Here is a 24,298-nt window from a genome sequence, read left to right as displayed (position 1 = left end):
GATCTTCTGGAAGTAAAAGTGTCCTAAACTACAAAGTAATATGTTTCTACCTCTGATCAGGCAGTTCCTGAATTTAACCATTTCAAAATATGACAAAAATCATAACTATAGAGATCTTACATTAATAGAACAGATTATTCTATGAGCATCTATTGTACATGTGTGAAAGATAAGCAGATAAGAAAGCCATGGTCTTTTTCTTTCGGAGTTCAAGTTGGAGAAGATACATGAGCTAGAAACCCAAGATTGGTTCTATAAATTCTGTAGCAGTTCAACTTTATAAAACCTTGGGAGCTGTAGACAGTTTTATTAAAGAACTTAGAAGGCCATGGCCATCTAGGCAGAGATTGCAATATGACCACAATCTCTGGTCATGTTACAGATGTTACAGAATGAATTAAAGCAATTTCCAAGAGAACTTGACCAGCCTAAATGAGAATCACTTTCTTCTTTTTTTGTATGTGTTTAGAATTGAATTATCAAGAGTATAGACAACTTTCCAGTTTACTTTGTCTGAAGAGAAACATAGGCAGTACTCACTTCCTGCCATGACATCTAATTTACTAAACTGCAAACTCTACAAGGTCTGGGTCATTATTTTATCAATCTCTGGATGTCCACAGGTCCTGGCACACATGATGGGCTCAATAATTACCTGCTAAATGAATTAACAAATTGTTATTTCTATAACAATTGATGAACAGGTATTTTACTAAGGGCCCATTATATGCCTCACACTGGGCTAAGTGTGCTGGGGGGCATAAAAAAAAGTTCAAGTCTCAGTCCTTGCATTTTGGGCACTATACAATCACAAATGCTGGTAATTTGTGCTGGTAATAAAGCAAGGCTCTTAAAAAACTGAATTTACTGAATATTTTGGCTTTGAGATAATCACAATCAACCATATGTGGTTGGAATTAACATGTGGAATTCATTTCTTTTAATCACTCAATAAGATGCTACTAGGAGGATAGTATATTTGTAGAACCGTACAGGACATGAATGAAGGACCTCAGTCTTAGTCCAGAGCAAGGTGAACACACTTGCAACCAGGAAACAACACAAGGGCCAAGTCTCAACTTTGGCCCAGCACACCGAGATTCTGAGTGCTCTTGTGCTCTGCAGTAGACTCTGCTACTGTATAAAGGTCAGAGAAAGGCCCGTCTTCACAGGTTGGATGGTTGGATGAAACTTAATGAAGGAGAAATAGTACGTTATTCCCAAAGGATGATTAGAATTTAGATAATAAATGGAATTTAGATAATTTAGGATCAGCAGCAGTAATAATTCAAACATCAGCAACAACCATTGATGTTTATTAGACACAGTACCAGGCCTGTTACATGTTATGAATTACATGCATTAACTTGTTCAATCCTCATGACAACCCTATAAGGCAAGAACTAACTTTCTTCCCATTTTTACAGATAAGGAAAATGAGACAGTTGGATGCTTTGAATGCCTGAGTTATATCTATGTTAAAAGCAAAATAAAATCAATGTTTAAAGCAAATTCCATTTGCCCACTAAAAATGAATGAAAAATATGGAGTTCAGAGGTTTACTCTACTAAAGAGAAGTTCTTCCTAGATAGGTTCTATGCCCATTCCTTTACAAGGAATGACATTTCCATTGCTTACCGTGTTTGAAGGCTTTTAATTCTACACAACATGTCCAGATGACCAGCAGAATATTGTTCAATGACATCTTTTACATCATATGGACGTAATGTTTCCTTAAACTTCCGTTTTGCAACATGAAATTTCATAATTCTGTATGAGAACATATTACATATTAATCTTTATAACTCTGTTAATATAAGTTACCAAAATAGTTTACCAGTAAATATAATAAGAAACTCTGGGGGGAAAAGTCATGCATCAAATTATTTTTGGCTTCTGCAGATGTGTAATATAAAAGCCTGAGATTACAGTGGACAATTTAAGAACATCTCATGTGAGACAACACCTTAAGAATAGAAAAACACACTAAAAAAGAGGCTGAACACTAAGTGTTTTGCCTTTTTAATGTCCGTTGAAACCCTGAATGTAAGTTAAAGTCAAAATGCAATTCTAACTTTTCCATGCAATCTCCAGAAGTCCAAGATACAACATCTAGTAATAGCATCCCTTAAAAAATATAAAGGCTGTTAAAATGGTCTTTTATGGAACTACATGCATTTTTGAGATACAAATGTGTTTGCAAAACACTCTATTCTCTCTAGAGAAATGTACATTAATATGGAAATTTGTGTTTTTTTTTTCCCATAAATTATTCCTGCAGAATACTGCTGGATTAGCTAGCCAAGTTCTTTTTGTTTTAAACATAATACACTTTTTTTTTTTTTTTGAGATGAGGTCTCACTGTGTTGCCCAGGCTCTAACTCTTGGGCTCAAGCAATCCTCCTGCCTCAGCCTCCCTAAGTGCTGGGACTACAGGCATGAGCCACTGGGTCCTGCCATAACACATTTCTTAACTAAGCTTGGGAGCCTAAGCTTTTCAGAACCAGGGACCTCTTATAACAATGCCTCCTGCAACATGGGCCCCATCTTTTACAATGATATTTCATCAACAAATTCCATGATGCCATCAATAGCTAATCTGCCTAAGATAACTAGTTCCTGCAATAACTTGATGCAATTTCTGATGAAAGCAGAGAAACATAACATTTGAATTAGTTTGTGTAGCCTTATTGCAGGTAAATTTAAATCCGTTGGTGTTTTTCAGCTACTAAATGGCCCATAGACTTCCATTATCACACTTGTAGATTCCAGGCTGGGAATCAGTCACTAAGAGACAAAATTTGTTGTCACTTGGTGGAAAGTGGGAAGATTAGGAACAAATGTAAAGTTGAAAAAGAAAACATCCATTGTCTATCTTAGGTGACAGCTGATTTCAAGGAATCCAAATTGTTTTATAGGTTAAAAAGCCTAAACCCTACCTTGCAATTGTATTATTAACTTTCAATTAATTATATCCTAATTATTCCTGAATCATTTATCTGTAATATTCTTACTCCCTTTCTCTAACCACATATTTTTCACCAATCTCTTCTTTATTCAGTATAGGTTTTGTATTTCCCCCCAAAACCATTTAAGCAAAATTATTCAGCAGAAAGTAAAGAAAATTAGTGTTTTAATTTAACCTCTTAGTATTGAGCTTTGGTTCCAAATTGGTTTACCAGCATTTAGGTTTCATAGAGTCTTAGTGTCCTGTATCAAAAAAACTGAGAAAAATAACAAAATATGTTACATGTGAAATTTCTGGTCCTGAGCAATTATGTAAATATCTGTTTCCATATACCAGACTGTCAATTAGGTAAAGGCAGACATAGATGTCTTTTTTTTTTTTTTTTTTTTTTTGAGACAGAGTCTCGCCCTTTCACCCAGGCTGGAGTGCAATGGCATGATCTCAGCTCGTAGTAATTTCTGCCTCCCAGGTTCAAGCGATTCTCCTGCCTCAGCCTCCCGAGTAGCTGGGATTACAGGCACGTGCCACCATACCTGCTAATTTTTTGTATCTTTAGTAGAGATGGGGTTTCACCATATTGGCCAGGCTGGTCTCGAACTTCTGACCTTGTGATCTGCCCACCTCAGCCTCCCAAAATGCTGGGATTACAGGCGTGAGCCACCGCGCCCGGCCTAGATGTCTTTTGTTCAACAGTCAGTGCTTAATAAAAGTTAGCTATTGTTGTTACCACTTCTACTATGACATTGTGTGCTTAGAGCTTCGCACAGTTTCTGACACAGTAAAAAATATTTGTTGAATAAGAGGAGGAAGGAAAGAAAGAGATAAAGAGAAGATCTCTAACCTGAGTCATATTAAGAATAAAACCAGAAGAGCTAATCTAACAGCCTAGAACCCTTCTTTGCTGTCTTCAAAGTAGCTAATGATGACTGGGTGGGCAGGAAAAAAGGAAAATCATCTTCATATATCCCAAGGTGGTTTTGCTGTTGTTGTGTGGTTGTTTGTGTTTTCATAACATCTGTCTACCACTTGTTATGTGAAGTACTTTGTATGTCTTCAATAGCACTTGATAAGATATTCCTTTCTCCTATTTATATTTTGGGAAACTGAGGTTCAAAGAACTTAAGTAACTTGCCCCCCAAAACAAGCAACTGGTATTAGGCAAAATCAGGATTCCACCCAGATCTGTCTGGTTTCCACTGCCACATTACCTCCTGGTTTTCCCATGGCATCAATTCTGGAGAATTGAGAAGTCTGAGTGGGATCTTTGGCAGTTCTTTCTTTCCTATGGTGGTAGAAGAGGCGCAAGCTACAGCATACGTCAGTGTGTTCTCTCTGGCTGTAGCTCACACATTTGTGGTTTGGGACGCATCTGCCCAGATGTGAACCTACATACTTCCAACTGCCTTTTTTGCCCTAATGGGGATCTGCCATTTTTTCTTGGTGGGATGTTATGTGAGCTCTTTCAGATAATTCATCAAAAGTTGCTTGTTGCTTTTCTCTCTTCCTTTCAGAGATGTTTTAACAGAAAGTACATTTTGAAGGCATTTGATAGATAATATTGCACTCTAGCACTCACGCAGTCATAGTTTATGCAAACCTTAAATAATTTCATTTTTACTTACATAATTTGCTATTTATGAGCTAGCTAGCTAAAGTTAAAATTAAAATCCATGGTTTATAATTGTGATCAATACTAAAAATGAAACTGATTATCTTTTATGTTATTTCAATATACTCACATAATGATAAGTATGCAAAACAGAGTAGATTTTAAAACTCTTAATAGGTTTATCATTTATTTTTATACATCATACCACTCTTCAGGTGGTATTGCCTTTTTTCCAGTGCTTTACTTACAGATTTTCCTACTTTATGTATGAGAATTAAATAGTGAAAATTGGATTAATAAATATCATTTCAATTATTTAGAAAAGAGGAGTATGTGCAGTGGTGCCTGGAGCAACCTTGCATTGACTCCCAAGCACTGACTACTTTTAAGAATTTTGGTGGTTATTAGGCCGGGCGTGGTGGCTCACGCCTGTAATCCTAGCACTTTGGGAGGCCGAGGCGGGTGGATCACGAGGTCAGGAAATCGAGACCATCCTGGCTAACACGGTGAAACCCCATCTCTACTAAAAATACAAAAAATTAGCTGGGTGTGGTGACGGGCACCTGTAGTCCCAGCTACTTGGGAGGCTGAGGCAGGAGAATGGCATGAACCCGGGAGGCAGAGCTTGCAGTGAGCCAAGGTCACGCCACTGCACTCCAGCCTGGGCGACAGAGCAAGACTCCGTCTCAAAAAAAAAAAAAAAAGAATTTTGGTGGTTATTAAACACCACATATTCTCACTCATAGGTGGGAATTGAACAATGAGAACACTTGGGCACAGGGCGGGGAACATCACTTCCCAGGGCCTGTCATGGGGTAGGGAGCAGGGGGAGGGATAGCATTAGGAGAAATACCTAATGTAAATGACGAGTTAATGGGTGCAGCACACCAACACGGCACATGTATACCTATGTAACAAAACTGTACATTGTGCACATGTACCCTAGAACTTAAAGTATTTTAAAAAAAGAATTTTGGTGGTTATTAAATACAGCTGTTACTAAAAATTAAATTACATAGACTTACAATCAAGTACATTATATTAAAAATAAAGGTAATATGTACTCAAACCTCACCATTTCCTAATTATTTTACTGTATGTTACTCTCTAGGCTCTTGAGTTGTTCACATCTATTGCGTCTGTACCATGGAAATTCTATCTAATAATGTAATATTGCTCGTCTTCTCAATTCCTGCTCAGTGATGTCACATTGGTAGTTTGAAAACAGCTATGACAGGAGTATTTACACTACAGAAATTGGCAAACAATACAAATCAGGATTTCCTTCTGAAGAGCTGGTTGTTCAGCATTTACCAGTGCATTACTGATGCTAAAAAAAATCTTACTTATTAAGGATTAAGTTTTTGAAGATGGAGATCAAATAGATTTTCTCAACTGGCTGTGTTGTGGGTTGAAAACAAAAACATTAAAGAGATTCAAAGTGAGATATGAAAGTTCTAAATCAGGTTCTATGGTTTATAAGTGTGGAGGGAATGTTTAAAAGCATAGACTGTCTTTCTTTTTCTCTTTTTTTTTTTTGAGACAAGGTCTCACTCTGTCACGCCAGGTGGAGTGCAGTGGCACAATCATGGCTCATTGCAGCCTTGACCTCCCAGATCTGCCAATCCTCCCATCTCAGCCTCCCAAGTAGCTGGGCCTACAAGGAGATACCCCCACACCGGTTAATTTTTATATTTTTTGCAGAGATAGGGGGGGTCTCCCTATGTTGCCCAGGCTGGTCTCAAACTCCTGAGCTCAAGTGATCCATCTGCCTTGGCCTTCCAAAGGGCTGGGATTACAGGCATGAACCACTGCACTTGGCCCATAGATATTTTTGAAATCAATGATTTATATAAAGAATGATGACCCTGTCATTATACTTTCGTTAAAAGAAGACTAGGCATGTCCTAATAGCTCTCAAAGCTGTCCCCTCATTTGCATCTCCACTGCTATAGGCTTAGAAAGAACAAACCTTTCAAAATGCAAGTAAGGGCATATTACCTCCCTCCTAAAGTCCTTCACTGGTTTTCCCTGGCCTATAGGATAAACATCAAACTCCTAGAAGCACATCCTATATGGCTGTTTATAAACTGGCCTCTATCTCTCTTGCCTCATCACCTTCCACTTCGTCCTTGGAACTTTAGGTTCCAGCAACAATAAAGTATGTGTAGGTCCACAAAAACCCTAGCCAATCAATTATATACTTCAATTACTTCCATTTGCTATTTCTTTTTCCTGAAATCCTGCTGTGTTTTCAAAACTCTGTTTTAAAGTCACTTCTTTTGGCCAGGTGTGGTGGCTTACACATGTAATCACAGCACTTTGGGGGGCTGAGGAGGGAGGATTGCTTGAGCCTAGGAGTTTGAGACCAGCCTGGGCAACATAGTGAGACCCCTGTCTCTACAAAGAATAAAAAATTAACCATGCATGATGGCACATGCCTATGCTCCCAGCTACTTGGGAGGCTGAGGTGGGAGGATCACTTAAGCCCAGGAGGTCGAGGCTACAGTGAGCCTTGACAGTCTTGCCACTGCACTCCAGCCTGGGTAACAGAGTGGGACCTTGTCTCAAAAAAAGCTCACTTCTTTCATAGAAATTTTTATGATTCCAACAAAACAGTTAATCACTTCTCTGTTAACCTCTAGCTTAGTACCTAACACACCACACTGTAATTATTTACTCATATTCTAGCTTCCTCCACCAGACTGTGTGAGAACCTTGAATGCAGGGATTATGTCTTCTACTCTTCATATCCCAAAACTTGGCCCAGAGTTTAATGAACATGGGAGGTTTATTTGTTTAGAAGCTCTACTGTGGAGACTTCGGGCAACTCTAGAAGGAAGAGGGTAGTGAATGGTGAGAATTCCCCCCTTCTCTCTCCAAATACTCATCTCTAGTCATTCCTCTGCATGCTGCCTGCTCTCCAGCCCATCTGGATTTTCCTGTCACCAAAGTGCTCATTCATCAGGATTCTGTCTCTTTGCACTCTACCTAAAATGCTAATTGTTCCAGATTCAGCTCAAGCACCAAGTGCTCTAGGAAATCTTTCCTAACCACCCTCACTGGGGTAGATGGTCTTTCTCTGTGCTTTCAAATGCACTGTGAGGTAGCTAAATCTGTGGCAGTGTGTCTCACCCACTGGAATTTATTCATGCCAGGAACTGTGCTCTTTACTTCAGCATCTGCATAATCCCTGGCAAGTATTAGGGGGTTCATTAAATGCTAGCTGAAGAAATAAATGAGGATTTGCTATTCCATAGTTCAAAGATGTTTGTGTTCTGTGACAAGGCAGACTCTTGTACAGATCTTCTAAAAAGAATGCCTTAGAATAGATTGAAGTTCTTCAGGCACATTTCAGAAAGAGCATAAGCCTCTGAGTTTCCTCCATGAATAAAAAAACTTTCTAAAGTAAAAGAAATGTTCACTCATTCAATAGTTAGGACCATGTGGGGTTCAGAAAAGTCATTTAAATAGAACTGCTACTGAAAATCATGAAAACATAATTTTCTTTTTCCTTAGATTGCTAACGTAATTAGGATCACACAAAGCAACAGCATTGCAAGCAACAACATATCATTTTGAGGAAATAAGGAGAAAGGCAAGAACAGTGGAAGTCAAGAAATATGTAATACTACAACATGATAAGCAGCAAAAGTAAAGAAAGACCTAATAGCAAAACAAAACTGTCCAGGGAAAAGAGAGGGAAGAGCCTGTTGGGATGGAATTATATTGGTTGAATGAAATTTACAGTATTATAAGACCATCAAGAAAACAGTGGAAAACATGTGGCTAGAGTCTAAAAAGAATACAACCTCAGTTTTTCATTCCTAGGAGATTGCTATCAGTGCTTCCAAAAATCACGTGTGCCTGTCTTGCTCTAAGCAGGACCAGGTGTGAGGGATGCTCTCTGGGGCTCCTGTTTTAGCCATCATACTCTGTGAATGAAGATGCCAGGTCAGTGGGGTCACATAACTTGACATGTTTACATTATTCAATTATCTCAGCCTCCCTCTTTCCACCCAATCCCCTCTCACTTCTTTCAGGACAGTACACGATTTTCATGATCAAAATAGAAGGTAGAGAGAGGAAAATTTGTGTCCAAGCTAAGTTTGAGAAAGCATCTCTGAGTATTTAGTATTGTCCTCCTTGCCCCCTGCAGCATTTTCTTATTTCTCTGGTCATCATTGGAATGCCTGGAACTGCCTCTGTCTCTATGATGCAATGAACTTAACCTGGGCACCCACTATCCATCTGCTGGACACAGAGCTGGATGGCGGGGATACAAAGGTGAACAAGACATAGATCTTGCTCTCTTCAACTTAATGTTGAGTGGGTCTCCAAGAGTTGTGCTTGGCTGGATGGCTGGTGCAGTGCTAAGTACTTTACCTGCATTCTGTCAACTTAAAACTCTAAGAATTTTCCACCTTTGACATTTGGGTCAAGTAAAGCTCAGGAGGTTGAGTTACCTGTTCAAGGTCACAGAACTAGTAAGAACAAGGTTACTGCAGATGCCAAGGCTCACATTTTTACCATTCCACTCACAGTGCTGCAACACAGAGTGAATCCCAGGCAGGCAACCTTGTAAACATTAAGGAGAATGTTTAGGCTGTCTATGGATCTGACCTCCTACTCTGCCTTGTATGCTCTGACATTCTCACACAAATGAATCCAAGGCCACATTAGTCATTTATTCATCTCTGTCCTTGTCTTTCCAGAGGGGATCCCATACTTGGAAAACATCTGCCTTTCAACCTGGCCACCTGCATTCTCTCATAAGGTCCCTTCTGGGAATCAGTCCATGGCTAATATGGGTTACCTACCTCCAGTAATTGTAATGTTTTCCCTTTTATCACAAATTTTAGGGGCTGTCTGCTTACTTTACCTCATTTGTAGGATATATACATCAGTCTCATTGGAGTCTGTTAGTTTTGCTTTACAGGGTATATTTTCCAGCAAATATATGTAATATATTCCCAACGTATATCATGAGCAAAAAGCTACCCAATTAGCCTTTGATAAGAGGAGAGAGTAGGCCATTATCTTGTTACTTGCAGGGAGCAAGGAAGCTCAGAGTTCAATAATTCTAGACACCAGGAAAAAATATGTGGGTGCTGAAAATTGAGGAAAATGTCCCAAAGTAGGTATCAACTACGAATTCAAAAGGTCTTTCAATTCTTCAATTTTTTTTCTAAGACTTGCATTTCATATACTAAGGGCTTTAACTACAGGATGAGGGGGTGGAGGGGAGACCAGAGGAGTAGGGGAGTCCTTGTTGGCAGGTAGAAGAGTGAAACCTGGTTTCATGCTTAGTTCTCACATAGGCTAGCCCAGACCTTCTGTGTCTTACTCTCTAAACACAGCTGGGAGCAAGCCCAGAGCGACTCAGAGTCTAGACAAGGGCCAGAAAGCTTCTTCTATAAAGGGCCAGGTAGTAAATATCTTATGCTTTGTGGGTTGTATGGTCTTTGCTGAAACTACTCAAGTCAGCCACTGTAGCATGCGAGCAGCCATAGGACAATAAATAAATGAATGAGTGTAACTACATTTCAATAAAACTTTATTTATAAAAACAAGCCCCTTGGGTTAGATTTTGATCCCCTGGCTATAGTTTGCTGACCCCTGGTTTAGATAAGAAGAGCTAAGAGAAAATGCCCTGAAGCCAAGAATAAATGAAAGCCCATGAACTGGCCTGGGGAAGAAGCAGAAGACCTTGGTGGCCTCTTACATGCTTACAAAAGAAGTTTGATATGACTTGTGTATTTCCTACTAGAAAGGAATTTCTGGGCAAATCATTCTAGAGTTAAATTAGGACCTTTAAGATACATTTAATGATTAAAATGATAATATTAGATAGCACTTTATAGTATAATCCTATGATAAGGGTACTATTGCCATCCCTGTTTTGCAGATAAAGAAACTGAGGCACAGAGAGGTTAAGTAACTTGCCTGATGTTAAACATCCAGTAATTGTGGAATTAGGACGTGAACCAGTTTGGCTCCAGCTTTGAGCTCTTAATCATAAGGTTCCTCTATTGTCTTAACATTAAGATCTTCATACTTTAACACAAAATAACAACAATGAAAAAGACACTTTGATATGATATGATTGTTTTTACTCACATGTGCCTGGCACATAGTAAGTGTTCAATACACTTTTGCTAAGTGAATGTCCTGTTTTTACTATGTCTCTCCTTCTTTGAGAGAGGTCTAAAGTTTCATGCAAGAAGTAGTTAAGAAGTTCTACTAATTTTTCAAAGGATTACCTTAGAAGAGAAAGGGAGTGCTGAAGTGACTGATTCATCCTTTCTTTCATGAATATTCATTAAGTACCTATGACGAGCCCTTTGGAGGACCAGCAAAAGGCTGAGGAATAAGTTACATACTCATCTGCTTCTTTTCTTCATGAGGGTAGATTGCATCACTGGGATTAATACAGCAGCAAAGAGCAAAAGACCTCTAAGGTTAGTCTCCTTTGATGCTGTTGGTTATGAAGAGACTAGGAGTCTAATAAACCCATTGCACAAAACTGATATGCCCCAGCAGTACCACTAGAGGGTGTAAAAGATTCATCACAAACCTAAACTAGTACCTCCTCTTGAAACTGAAGTCTGCTCATACAATTTTCTGAGCATGAAGAAATAACTAAAGCAAAGTGAAACTCTGGGTAGACGACATCTATATATACACACGAACACATGTGCACTTATAAGGAAATGTAGGTGCATTTGTTGTGCTGCCATGAGTTCTAAAATCTTACAAAAGTCTTATTCCAATCCTCTAAATTAGGGTAAAAATATTGCATATGAATATGCAGAGATAAGAACGATGAGAAAACAGAAGCAGCAGTGACTGCTGCCACCGCCAAACAGATGGACGGACCCAGCCAGCAGCCAAACCATGTGCAAGGGCGGAGAGGGCTCAGCCAACTGTGAACTGAAGAGGCAGTTTGATTGACTGTCAAGACAGCAGTACTTCCCAAGCTTGGCTGCTCTTTGGAATCACCTAGGGAGCTTTAAAAAATGCCTGGGTCCTACCTCCAGAAATTCTGTTTTAATTGTTCCAGGGCATGGTCCAAAGATTTTATAAAACTTTTCAGGTGATGCTAATGTGTGGCCAAGGTTGAGAGCCACTGGAGTAGAGACAGGATTGGGGTGATGGTGGCATGTGGTGGTGGAGTGTGTTGGGGGTGGAACAATCCCTGCTCTCATGCAAAGAAGTGATCATGATTCATGCCAGCTTGCAAAATCTTCTAAGTCGCACATGTCAGACCCATTGACATGGCATTAGTGTGCCTTGGTGTCAGACCTCTAATCAGAACTGAAATGCTTCCCCGTCCTTGAGTGAGGTCTGAAGTTTCATGCAAGAAGTAGTTAAGAAGTTCCATTAATTTTTCAAAGGATTACCTTGGAAGGGAAAGGAAGTGCTAAAGTGACTGATTCATTCATTCTTTCAATGAATATTCATTGAGTACCTATGACGTTGTGCTGAGTATTGTGTTAGGCTCTGAACTGTTAACTGCTGGGCGCTGGCAGAGTTAAAGAAGCCTCCTACGTGATGACAATGATCATTTGGTCCTTGGTCTCTTCCTCTCTACAAGCATGGTGCAAGACAATGGTTGCTGCGACTGTGAGCTCTGATAGGATTTGAGAGTTTCATTTGTCCAGAGCTTGGAGCTCTCTAGATAAGCTCCATGTGGCTGCCTCCCCTAGTGATGCCTGATGAGTGGGACTCGAGAATTTGTCCATTCATTCATTCATTCATTCATTCATCAAACATTTATTGAGTGCCTATTATATGCCAGCTTCTGTGCTAGATGCCAGGGATACAGCAATGAAGAAACAAATCCTATTGCTTGGGCACTTTCAGTCTAGTAGGGCAGACAGACAAGTAGGCAGACAGTTAAAATTCACTTTGTGATGTGCAAGGTGGTGGGAAGCCCAGGTTGATATGGGAATGCAGAAGAGGGGTGTTTAACCCAGACTGGTAGAGGTGATCAGAAATGATTTCTGGAGGAGATGACAGTGCTTTACCTACTCTGCACCCTCATTTATGGGGATATTATTAAGTTTCTGAAGGTTGCTGAATGGCCCCCTTGTGATTGCAGATCTTATGTTTGTGGGGTGGATGTGGGTTTCTCCCCCTTAACCCCTCACTTTATGTTGGTTATTTGGGTTAATTTACACTACCGACATGCATTCCACATCCCTCTGTTATGGTTTGAATGCCCCCTCCGAAATTCATGTTGAAATTTTATGCCTAATGTGGCAGTATTGAGGGGTGGAACTTTTAAGAGGTGATTAGATCATGAGGACTCTGGCTGTATGAATAAATTATGGATTAATGGGTTAATGGATTAATGAGTTATCATGAGAGAGGAACTGGTGGTTTTATAAGAAGTGGAAGAGAGACCTAAGTTAGCACTTAGCATGCTCACTCTGCTTGCTATGTGATGCCCTGTGCTGCCTCAGGGTGCCACAGAGAGTCCCCACCAACAAGAAGGCCCTCACCAGATACACCTGCCCACCTTGGACCTCCCAGCCTCCATAACTGTAAGAAATAAATTCATCCTTATAAATTACTCAGTTTCAGATATTGTTATAAACATCAGAAAACAGACTGAAATACTCCCTCTTCCAGTTTGGAAAATTCTATCTTCTGATTTCTGACTCTCCATGAGAAATACAGCATTTATCTGTCTTAAAAGCACGGACCCCAAGGCTCATCCTTCAGGTGACCCAGAGCCTTTTGATCACAGAATTTCCCCTGAGGCAGCCCTCACTCGAAATTGATCACGGGACAAATCCAGCAGACAACTAGGGCTGCAGAGCTTGATAATTTGGGTCACTATTGAAGGCATATGTGTTAGTTATTTAGAATACTTTTTAATGTTGTTTTCTTGTTAATACATAAACATAATTCAACAATATAGATTTGTATTTGTGTTTACAGTATTTAAACTCTGACAGTTTTATAATCTGCAAAGCAAGTTATAAAATTATATATCTAAGATTCCTCTACTCTTCTTTCATCTTAGATCGGGTTACTAGACAAGACCAAGGAACCCCAGGAGTCCCTGGATGCACTGATCTGTCTCATTTTCTTGGTTTTAACTCTTGATAGAGAAATGTAAATTAGCTCCACGTGTGTACAGTCTGTCTGATATTCTCACTGTAGGGGCAAGCAGATATTCCATTTGGCTCACTTAGGACATTCAGACATTCTGTGGCCACACTGTTTCCACCACTGAGAGTAGACTTGTTCTCCTAATGCTTGCCATTATTGTCCTTTATATGCAGGATCTAGTAGGCTCTCCTGCAGAGTTTTTGTTTTTTTTTAATGTTTGTAGAGATGGGTCTTGCTATGTTTCCCAGGCTGGTTTCAAACTCCTGGGCTCAAGCCATCCTCCCAGCTCAGCCTCCCAAAGTGTTGAAATTATAGGCATGAGCCACTGCACCTGGCCCCTCCTGTAGATTTTTGTTGGATTTTCTTTTAAGGGTATAAGAGTAGTAAAACCCAAGCAAGAACTTCCAGATCCGAAGAAGTCTTTCCTGCCAGGAATTTGTAAGCATTGATATGGCGACTAAATTTGGGGATTTTGTGTTCCTAGGAGTGTAAAATCTTGCATAAATTTTAAAGTGTAAAAAAAAAAACCAAATAATAAAGTGTGAAATGAATAAGTAAATAAATAAATTGACTATACATGTTGACTACTTTAAAATATTTTTAACATGGAATAGGAGATTCTATATTTTTAGCAAATAATAGAAAACTCAGTTTAAATTATAGCCAAAGAAAAGGTTTAATATCTCACATGCTACAAAGTAAGTGCATCTTCAGTGAAAACACTACTTTAACACAGCCTCGGAGCAAATGTAGCCACAACTAATTACCTTCAAAACAAAAACAAGCAAAAACAACATTCCAGGGAGTATATTAGCTGATTTTAAAGATATGTGCTAAATGATCCATAAAATGTTCTTTAGCAGCGTCCTTTACTGTAACATGTCATAGATTGGCTGTCAAGAATGTCTTAATAGTGACTTGCAAACAAAGACTCATCACCTCTGCTAAAATAGCAGAGATGCCATCAGCAAAATTAAGAACTGGTGATGATTAAACAGCTTGTAGATTTAACAAAACCCGCAATGGCAAACACGTGCCTCTTCTTTACTTGCGGAGTATTCTTGCCTGAAATATGAAGTGAGATGCAAGAAGGATTCACAGCTGAGATTGCATTTTAGGGATGGTCAAGATAATGGTCCCATACATGCCTTTCAGAACAGGAATAACACAGGGGCAAGAAAACTGAAAAACTTTATCACCCAACCCAGGGTAACAGTGAGGCCTGATTTGCATATCCACCTCAGGAACTCTGAAATGTCATTAGTGGTTCTTCAGTTCACTGATCAGATCTGAGCTATTTTAGAAGAGTTGATGAGCCTTTGCTAGTTACAAAGAAATTCTTGACACTTCATCTATGTTCATATTAGAGTGAGAGATTCTGGTAATTTAAAAAAGTGTTCTATTTACCATCTGGCTTCAAACCCTTTTCCTTCTACTGAATTTTTCTCCGAAGTCACAGATGACCTCCTTGTTGCCACTTTCAAAGGACCTTCTCACTCTTTATCTTCTTTGACCTCTTAGCAGCATTTAACAGCGTTGACATCTGCCTCCTACTTGAAACACTTTCTTCCTCTGGCTTCTCTTCTGTCACGCTCTCCTGGTTTTCCATCTGTCTGGCTGTTTGAATCTATCTCCTTCAGAGCATTCTTACTTTTGCAGCTCCTGTTTGTGAGCCTTAGACTTCTGTGTTGACCATCTTCTCTTTTTACTCCCTGGGGTGAGACTTCCACAAACCATTTATCTCTGTGCTGACAGCTACCAAATTTGTCCATATTCCAGACTGCTCTCCTGGGTGTCAGATCCAGAGATCCACCTACCTGCTGAGCCCTACTGTGACTGCTTGAACTCAACACTCACAATAATGCACCATCTCCCCTCAAGCCAGCCTGTCTCACCATCCTCCAGATATGCCATCCTTGATTCCTCCTGTTCTTTCCCTCCATCCTCTCCAATCAGTAAATATCCAAATCCTATCTGAAATCCATCCTTGACTATTCTCCATCATGACTGCCCAGCTCAGGCCCCAGCAGATCCAGGTATTGTAATAATAGTTCTCTCTTCCCAATACATTCCTTACATTGCAATCAGAGTCATCTTTCCAAGTTTTCAAATGAAGCACTGCGTTAGTCCATTCTTGCACTGCTGTAAAGAAATACCCGAGACTGAAAAATTTATAAATAAAAGAGGTTTCATTGGCTCATGGTTCTGCAGGCTGTGCAGGAAGCACGACTGGGGAGGCATCAGGGAACTTAAAATCATGGCGGACGGCAAAAGGGAAGCAGGCTTCTTATGTGGCCGGAGCAGCAGGAAGAAAGAGAGAAGCGGGAGGGAGGTGCTACACACTTTTAAACCACCAATCTCATGAGAACTCACTTGCTATTATGAGAACAGCAAGGGGGAAATCCGCCCCCATGATCCAATCACCTCCCACCAGGCTCCTCCTCTGACATTGGGGATTACAGTTTGACATGAGATTTGGGCAAGGACACAGATCCAAACCATATCATGCACTGATCTGATAAATTCATTTCTGTACTTAGAATCCCCCACATTCCTGCTCATTCTTATGGTTCCTGCTCTTCTCTTCAGCCTTACTCTCCTCATCCTTGTCCTCCACCTTCAACCATCACCCGTGCTTTCTAATGCCACCTTCACTTCTGCTTCTTTGCAATTGCAGTTCTCTCTGCCCAGCCTCTATATCCTCCTTAGTAACCTGGCTAGTTCCTACATATCTACCAGATTTCTTCTTTTCTTTCTTTTAGAGTCTTCCCAAATGCCACCTTCCCCAAAAGTGCCGATATAGGTTGGCCCAAACCGTCCTGTCACTGTAGTAATATGCTGCTCTGCATTGTAATTGACTCTACTTTTCTGGTAGTTCCTCACAACTCTAAGCAGGGATCCATCTTTTTTGTTAACGTTTATCTCTGTGCCTGGTGCACAGTTGAAGCTCAAGACCTATTTTTCAAATGCATGCACTGAACGCTGGGAAGAGTTTTAAAGAGTCTATAGTCAGGCTTCGACAAGGGTCAGGGAGGGAGAGGGAAGAGCTAACTTCTCCCTTTCATTATCCTGTTGCTTCTTCAGAGGGTGCCTGGGAAGGCAGCAAGCTCACCCTGAGGAGAAAAGAGGTGAGATTTACTTGGAACATTGGCTCATGATTGCTCTTCATGGTTGAAAAAATTGCTCTTCTAGACCAGGCGCAGTGACTCATGTCTGTAATCCCAGCACTTAGGGAAGCCAAGGGGGGGGCAGATCACCTGAGGTCGAGAGTTCGAGACCAGCCTGACCAACATGGAGAAAACCTGTCTCTACTAAAAATACAAAATTAGCCAGTCATGGTCGTGCATGTCTGTAATCCCAGCTACTCAGGAGGCGGAGGCAGGAGAATCGCTTGAACCTGGGAGGTGGAGGTTGCAGTGAGCCAAGATCGCGCCGTTGCACTCCAGCCTGGGCAACAAGAGTGAAACTCTGTTTCAAAAAAAAAAAACTGCTCTTCCAACTCTGAGTAATTTCTCAGTCCAGGTAGTGGGAAGGTAACTTCAAGGGGAAAATGGCAAGTGCTTCCAGGTGAAGGAGATGCAAGCAGGTGAGGCTGTGTATGTTTTGGAAGATGGGAGCACCCTGATTCAAAGACAGAACAAAGTGCTCTTCTCATGTGACTCATCATGGAAGCGGGTGGAGCTCAGAAAGGAAAAGACTGACCCAGAGCAGAGGACGGGCAGTGGAGGCAGCATGCTGGAAGGCATAAGGAGTCCAGACAACTCAAGGGTAATAATATTAGCATTTACATAGTGCTGACCGTGTATACCGTTCTAAGTGCTTTGCAAATGTTTATTCATTTATTCATTCCTTACTACAACCCTATGAGGTCAATACCATTACCATCCCCAGTTTGCCAGTGAGGAAACAGAGGCTTGAAGAGGGAATATGAGTTGCTCAAGGATGTACAGAGGCTGTCCTGTTTCTTGGACTACCTCTCCCTAGCAGCTTCAGGGAGGGTGGGAGGAGGGGATAGAATTAGCCAATGGTACCAGTGTAAAGTCGTTTGTCAGCTTCAACTAAAGACTTCTTTGAGTTTTCACCCTGGACCTTATTCATGTATTCATTTGATTCTCTAAAAGGCTAGTCTGGCCTGGGAAAGAAAAGGTTTCATAAAGTGAAACATAGCAGGCATGACCATTATTGCACGGAGATAGTAAGAGACGGTAAGAGCAAGGCACAATCGATAGCGTCTTGGTCATTTCTCTTCAGAATAATGAATAATCTGCATCAGTGGTTTTGTTGATATTCACAAAAAGAACAGGTTTCACAGTATTTTGATTCAGTTCTTGACAACTGACATAAAACATGGTTGTATAAAACAAACGGACAGGAAAACAACTGTCACTGAGGATCTTATTAAGAGTGGCCTTAAAAGTGTGATCTGAGGACCAGAGCTGCTTCACCAACTCTTGGGTACCAATCCATGAAGAGATTAGTGCTTAGAAACTTTTAATAGCAATTTGACAGGATAATTTTATATCTGTTGAAATAGTTTTAAAAATTGAAAAAAAAAAAAAAGAGTAGCCTTGATCCTAGATGTAGTAATTCATTGAAAACAATACCGGTAAGAAGCAGGTAAGCTTTGCATTGCACTGTTTTAACAAAGCTCTTTCCCCAAATGGTGAATCCTTTACACAGTACTTATACGTTGCATTGGTGTGCATATCTGATAAATTACCTGCCTGTTCAGTACATAAATACAATTTCTGTTATATTTAAAAAAGTTATTATTCTGGGGCTCTTCCATAAATATGCAGTTGTATATGACTTTCAAATATTTGTTATTTTAGTGTCATTCTTTTTTTTTTTTCCCTTTAGAGACAGGGTTTCACCATGTTGCCCAGGCTGGTCTTGAATTCCTGAGCTAAAGTGATCTGCCCAACTCAGCCTCCCAAACTGCTGGGTTTACAGGTATAAGCCACCATGCCTGCCCTGTTATTTTAAATTTAAACAGCATATATTAATTTTTGTGTAAAACTTTGCCCAAGATTCATGTATATATATGTAATGACTACAAAGCCAAGTACTAGCATGAAAAGTAATAGTCTGTTACCTTCAGATAGTCCCAATTAGCCAGATACTTGACATTTTGAAGGAACATATCTAGGTAATTTATGGGCTATATTTTTAAGACAGTGATAGAAAAATGGGTGATCTACTACGAAATAGGTATATGTGAGTGTGTAGAATCCTCTAGAGTCTATCCATTTGTTTGTTTACTTTCCTGCTAATTTTATCTTTCCATTTAGGAACTAATTTCTATGAGTGGATAAAAAGAAACTTAACATTGTTTGAACTGAATCACTAAAATATGGGGCTTTTGTTAAAAATAAGTACAATCTTCACTCCTAAAGGTGAGTTTGAAAACACATTTCCAGCACATTTTTGCATTTCCCTGAAATAATATTTTGAGAAAAATCTATGATAATTCTGGAAGAAATATACAAAACTAAGTTTTCTTCTGAGTAAAAGACATATTTTGGAAATAGTCTAAGAATAGTAATTCTTTACTATGTACCATGAACAGTGACATTATTTATTTTTTAAAAAGTGTCAGAGTGCATTTGGATAATAGAATCCAGACAAATTCAGAGAGTGTCCTTAGTCATCTCTAGAAAATGGCAGATGTTTAAAAAATATTGATAACTGAAAATAAGAACTCTTACTTTGCTCTTTGTGAAGGTAGTAATATTATTTTCCATACTGTCATCCTTGCAGTAGAATACATATTTTTTGTTACACATTTTAATTTGGCTGCTAGGAAAAACTACTATTGCAAGAGTTACTGAAATACAAAAGGCATATTTAAATATTCGTATTAAATATTCTAACAATTAAAAAATAACAAGAAAAATGCCCAAAGTTACTATTTTGAGATGAATAATAGATGTTTCACACCTGCAATCTGTAATATACATATACATACTGCTTCAGGGGAGCTGCAAGAGGTGGGCATGTTCTGGCAAAAACCCTCCGGCAACTGATGTTGAACTTACGAACATAATTAAACACCTTAGGAAAAGAACCCTTCTGCATAAGATTTAGGACTTATACCTGCAAACTTCTTTTTAGAGCTGCTAATTGTATTAGTTGGTTTTTAAATTATGTATCTTTAGAAATTAAGTACACCATGAGTAAAATATTTTCAATTAGGTTATTAAGCTATTGAGTGTATCTATTAGGTTTTTACAGAATCTGTTAATTTAATTGTATTCTCTTTATTTTTATTTTTATTTTTGAGACAGAGTCTTGTTCTGTTGCCCAGGGTGAAGTGCAGTGGCACAATCTTGGCTCACCGCAGCATCTGCCTCCTGGGTTCAAGCGACACAATCTGTTAATTTGAAATGGAATTTAGAAGTGATGAAAAACCACTAGGCAGAATCAGGATATGGAGGAGAAAAACATCCCCCTCAGGTACCACAATGCAGCAAGCAGAAAATGTCAAGAATCCACAAAAAGATAGACATGTAAATAGTAAAGTTCCATTAAAAATAAGAACCAAGAAAGAATTCTGAAAAGCAAGGGAATTCTGCAAAGACTTCACAAAAATCAGTCAAGTTTCAAGAAGAATAACAAAGTAAATCTTAAGCTGTTGCTGAAGTGCTTAGCTAGCAGAATAAACCTATTTCATTTTCTTTCTTGCAGCTCACAATCCTTTTTATAGGTTGTAAAGCAAAAGCAGAAAGCTTCAGAAGGTCTTGGGAAATGACATAAACTGGGTTAAGTATGACTTTTAGGAAGCCTAATCTGCTCTCACTAGATAAGATTTTCCATACTTGTTGCAAGTCAGATTAATTCGTGGACTGAATTGTCCCACCTTTACTTTAGGGTCTTTTATGGATATACTCAACATGTGAAAAATTTCAAGGTGACTTCTAGACCAGTAATGTTCAATAAAATTTTCTGTGACATGGGAAATCTTTCGTTTCTTTGTCTAATGAAGTAGCCACTGGCCACCTGTGGCTATCGAACAGTTGAAATATGAATGGTGCGACTGATCCACTAAATTTTAAAATGTATTTCATTTTAATTAATTCAAATTTAAATAGCCTCAGTAGCCTCAAGTAGCCAGTGGTTATCATATTGGACAGTGCAGTTCTAAATCCTCTATCCCTTTAACTGAAGGCTTCAGACATCATTTCACTACATATTCTGGGTTATCTGGGCTTATACATCACCCAAGACTTCTAGGTTCACTAGAGATAGGGTGACCATATAATTGATTGTCCAAACTGGGATACTTTGAGAAAGATGGGAGCATTATTAACACTTATGATGAGACTAGAGGCATAATCTGGACTGTCCAGGCCAGATAGGAAGGTATAATCTCTCCACCCATAGGGTTTGTGACTTGAGGGTTCCATTGAGAAGTAACTGAACTTTTGTTTTTTTTTAGGCTGCTGCTACAGATAGTGTTTAAACATCTTCTGGAGTTTCATCACACCATGATTTTCTTTGCCCCCACAAACATTTATGAAAATCTTTAGAACTCATTTCTGCTTTCCCAGTGACTCTCAGCTATAGGGCAAATCAATGTCTAACATGATGCCAAATGACCAACTAAAAACAGAAGTAAGTAATCAATCATGCTAACATTCAAGATTAGACCAAACATGTGAATAGCTAAATTGGTTTGGATATTTTATTTTATTTTATTTTATTTTTTGGAGGCAGAATCTCATTCTGTTGCCCAGGCTGGAGTGCAGTGGCATGATTTCAGCTCACTGCAACCTCCATCTCCCGGGCTCAAGAGAGTCTCCTGCCTCAGCCTCCCAAGTATCTGGGATTACAGGTGCCCGCCACCACACCCAGCTAATTTTTGTATTTTTAGTAGAGACAGGGTTTCGTCAAGTTGGCCAGGCTTATCTTGAACTCCTGACCTCAAGTGATCTGCCCCCCTCAGCCTCCGAAAGTGCTGGGATTACAGGCATGAGGCACTGCACCTGGCCTGGTTTGGATATTTTTAACTTTCTTCTAGTTTTTCACCAACAGGCAGAGGTATTTCTTTTCTTTTCTTTTCTTTTTTTTTTTTTTGCAATATAGTTACTCAGCATTCCTTGACAAATACAAATTCTCCCAAAAGGGTTAAACTGGGCCAGCTGAGCATGCAGCAATTCATCTAGTCCAGATCTTGATTGCGTGTGTGTGTGTGTGTGTGTGTGTGTGTGTGTGTGTGTGTGGTGGGAAAGGTCATGGAAAAGGTAAATTTAAGTTGCTAGGTATACTCTCTTAGCTCTCTGCCATCAGTAGAGGAAGCAAATTAAGATCAGCCTTTAACAATTACATTTCAGATAATAAGACTAAGTCACTGCAAAATACTTTAGGTTTCCCATTTTCAGAACTCAACCCATTTTGAAATAACCTACAAGGCCTTTTCTTTGATATACAATTCTGTACAGAATACAGATTGGAGCAAGTCATAAAAATAATTAAAAAATCCAATTGCATCAATAAACTAAATGTCCTTAAAGTAGCAAATACACACGACAAGCCAAGACTCGTGTAATCTCTCTAATATGACCTGGCTTTTCAAATCCCACCCACGTTTTATAACTCTTTGTGTTGAACACAGCAGAATTTTGTATTAAGAAACAAATATTTCACAATTCAATAGGCATATGGATGAATAGGAAAGGGAAAGTGGTTATTCCAGGATATTTACCTGCAGAAAAAGAACTTAGCAACATAGTAATTCAATTAATCATAAGTATGTCTCTGAATCACGTTGTTCAAGATTTTCACCAACCTGATAGCTCGAATGACAGTTTTAAGTGGTGGGGTGAGGTCTTCCACTGATACATCACACTGGCATCCTTTTTCATCATATACATCATCAGTGCCAAGGGCTGTGTCAGCTGCAAGAGAATATTGCCAGTTAAATAACACCACCATCCGCAATTTGAAACATGTTGCTGAATTTTTCTCACGTGGAAATGGCGGGATACTCACAGAGTAAGCTGATAAACCAAGATATGTATAAGGTCAGCCAATTGTCTTGCCAATATTATTCTTTCTTCTTTTTCTACAGCCTCCCCAGTTTTAAATATGAATACTTTTCTGAACTGTTTTCTACGGGCAAGATGAAGCTATCGACACATTATCTTTCCAGTACTGGTGATGGATTTGTGTTGATCCACCTATGCTCTTTTGCCCAGTTCCTTGGAAACTAACAGCCAGCTTTTAAGTGACAGCTGTCTGGAGTTACAGAAATAGTTTTTGGACTTGTAACTAACTGGCCTGTATATATCAAGCTCATATCCCATGACACTGACCCCATTAGCCTTATGTCCTGAACAAGTAAGCTAAGTAGCCGGAGCCAAGAATGCTGACTACTTATTAGTTACTGGATACAGGCAGCCAGGAAAGAGCTTGCTTCAGATCATACAGCCAAAGCTGAGGGCGATTTTCAGACTGGATAAAAAATCAGTTTTTCGTAAACCAAGGAAATTTACTTTTGGGTTAATTGCAAATGTTTGGGGAAGGCAGCAGGGTTATAATAAATGCCAAATTATTATGAATTTGTAAAGCAAATAAGGAATAAGCTCATTTCATTGCATTTCTGTTTTCAGTAACAAAATATTAGAATGAAGTTAAAATTCCTGTGATGGAGGATAGGTCAAATGAATATTGGTAGGTTTATATAATGGAATATTAGACAACTTTAAAAAATGATGTTGAAGACTAATGACTGGGAAAGTGTCACAGTATATTGTTAAAGAAAAAAACTCTCTGCATATCTGAAATTAAGAATGATTTTATTGTTTTTGCTTGCCTGTATTTTCTAACATTTCTCCAATGAACATGTATTACTTTGGCAATACAAAGTAAAGTAATAAAAATGCTCTCATGAAAGAGGAGTTATGTGGCCTCCAAATACCTTTTTTTTTTTGAGAAAAAGTCTTGTTTTGTCGCTCAGGCTGGAGTGCAGTGGTGCGATCTGGCTCACTGTAACCCTGTAACCACCACCCCTATTGGGTTCAAGCAATTCTCATGCCTCAGCCCCGCAAGTAGCTGGGATTACAGGACCGCACCACCACACTCAGCCAATTTTTGTATTTTTAGTAGAGACGGGGTTTCACCATGTTGGCCAGGCTGGTCTCAAACTACTGGCCTCAAGTGACCCGTCTGCCTTGGCCTCCCTAAGTGCTGGGATTACAGGGGTGAGCCATTGCTCCTGGCCTCCAAATACCATTTTTATATGGTCCAAGCCTCTCTAAATGTTGACATACACTAGAGGACTAATACTACTTTGTGTTGCCTTTGCTCTGTGCAGTGTTCATTTGCTAAGTCATGAAAGGAAAAGACTTTGCCATGGGCTGTCCTGGTTGGGCTCCAAATTTTGAAAGGCTATTGGAGGTTCATTCATTGAGGCAGTGCTTATATTTGTAATGCAGTTTGTGTGTCATTTACATCAATGAATATTTACTGTGTGTTTATGCAGTTTACTTTTGTGCTGTAATGCAGGCGGTGGTGCGGGAAGAGATGATGAGATACATGTAGACACATGGATCTTCACAGCTCTTCTTCGAGGTCCCTTTGGCTTTCTTGCCTTTAAG

At 39.4% G+C, this 24,298-nt stretch overlaps 1 protein-coding gene across 7 annotated transcripts in view; it reads right to left on the bottom strand.

Moving 5' to 3' along the window:
- KCNQ5 (potassium voltage-gated channel subfamily Q member 5) overlaps positions 1 to 24,298 on the bottom strand; it is a 576,790-nt gene that overhangs the window by 6,511 nt on the left and 545,981 nt on the right. For 5 of the 7 annotated variants that reach the window (NM_001160133.2, NM_019842.4, NM_001160132.2 and 2 more), the window contains 2 exons: positions 22,489 to 22,597; positions 1,639 to 1,770 (listed from right to left, as the gene is read on the bottom strand). In NM_001160133.2, the coding sequence (NP_001153605.1) occupies positions 1,639 to 1,770; positions 22,489 to 22,597 (241 nt within the window). Of the gene's footprint in view, positions 1 to 1,638; positions 1,771 to 22,488; positions 22,598 to 24,298 lie in introns of those variants that run through there. The other 2 variants (NM_001160134.2, XM_024446493.2) reach the window with 2 other exon arrangements.

This window comes from Homo sapiens, chromosome 6 (assembly GCF_000001405.40).
Source record: "Homo sapiens chromosome 6, GRCh38.p14 Primary Assembly".
In the NCBI taxonomy this organism is placed as follows: domain Eukaryota; kingdom Metazoa; phylum Chordata; class Mammalia; order Primates; family Hominidae; genus Homo; species Homo sapiens.
This window is presented reverse-complemented; position numbering and strand designations above follow the sequence as displayed.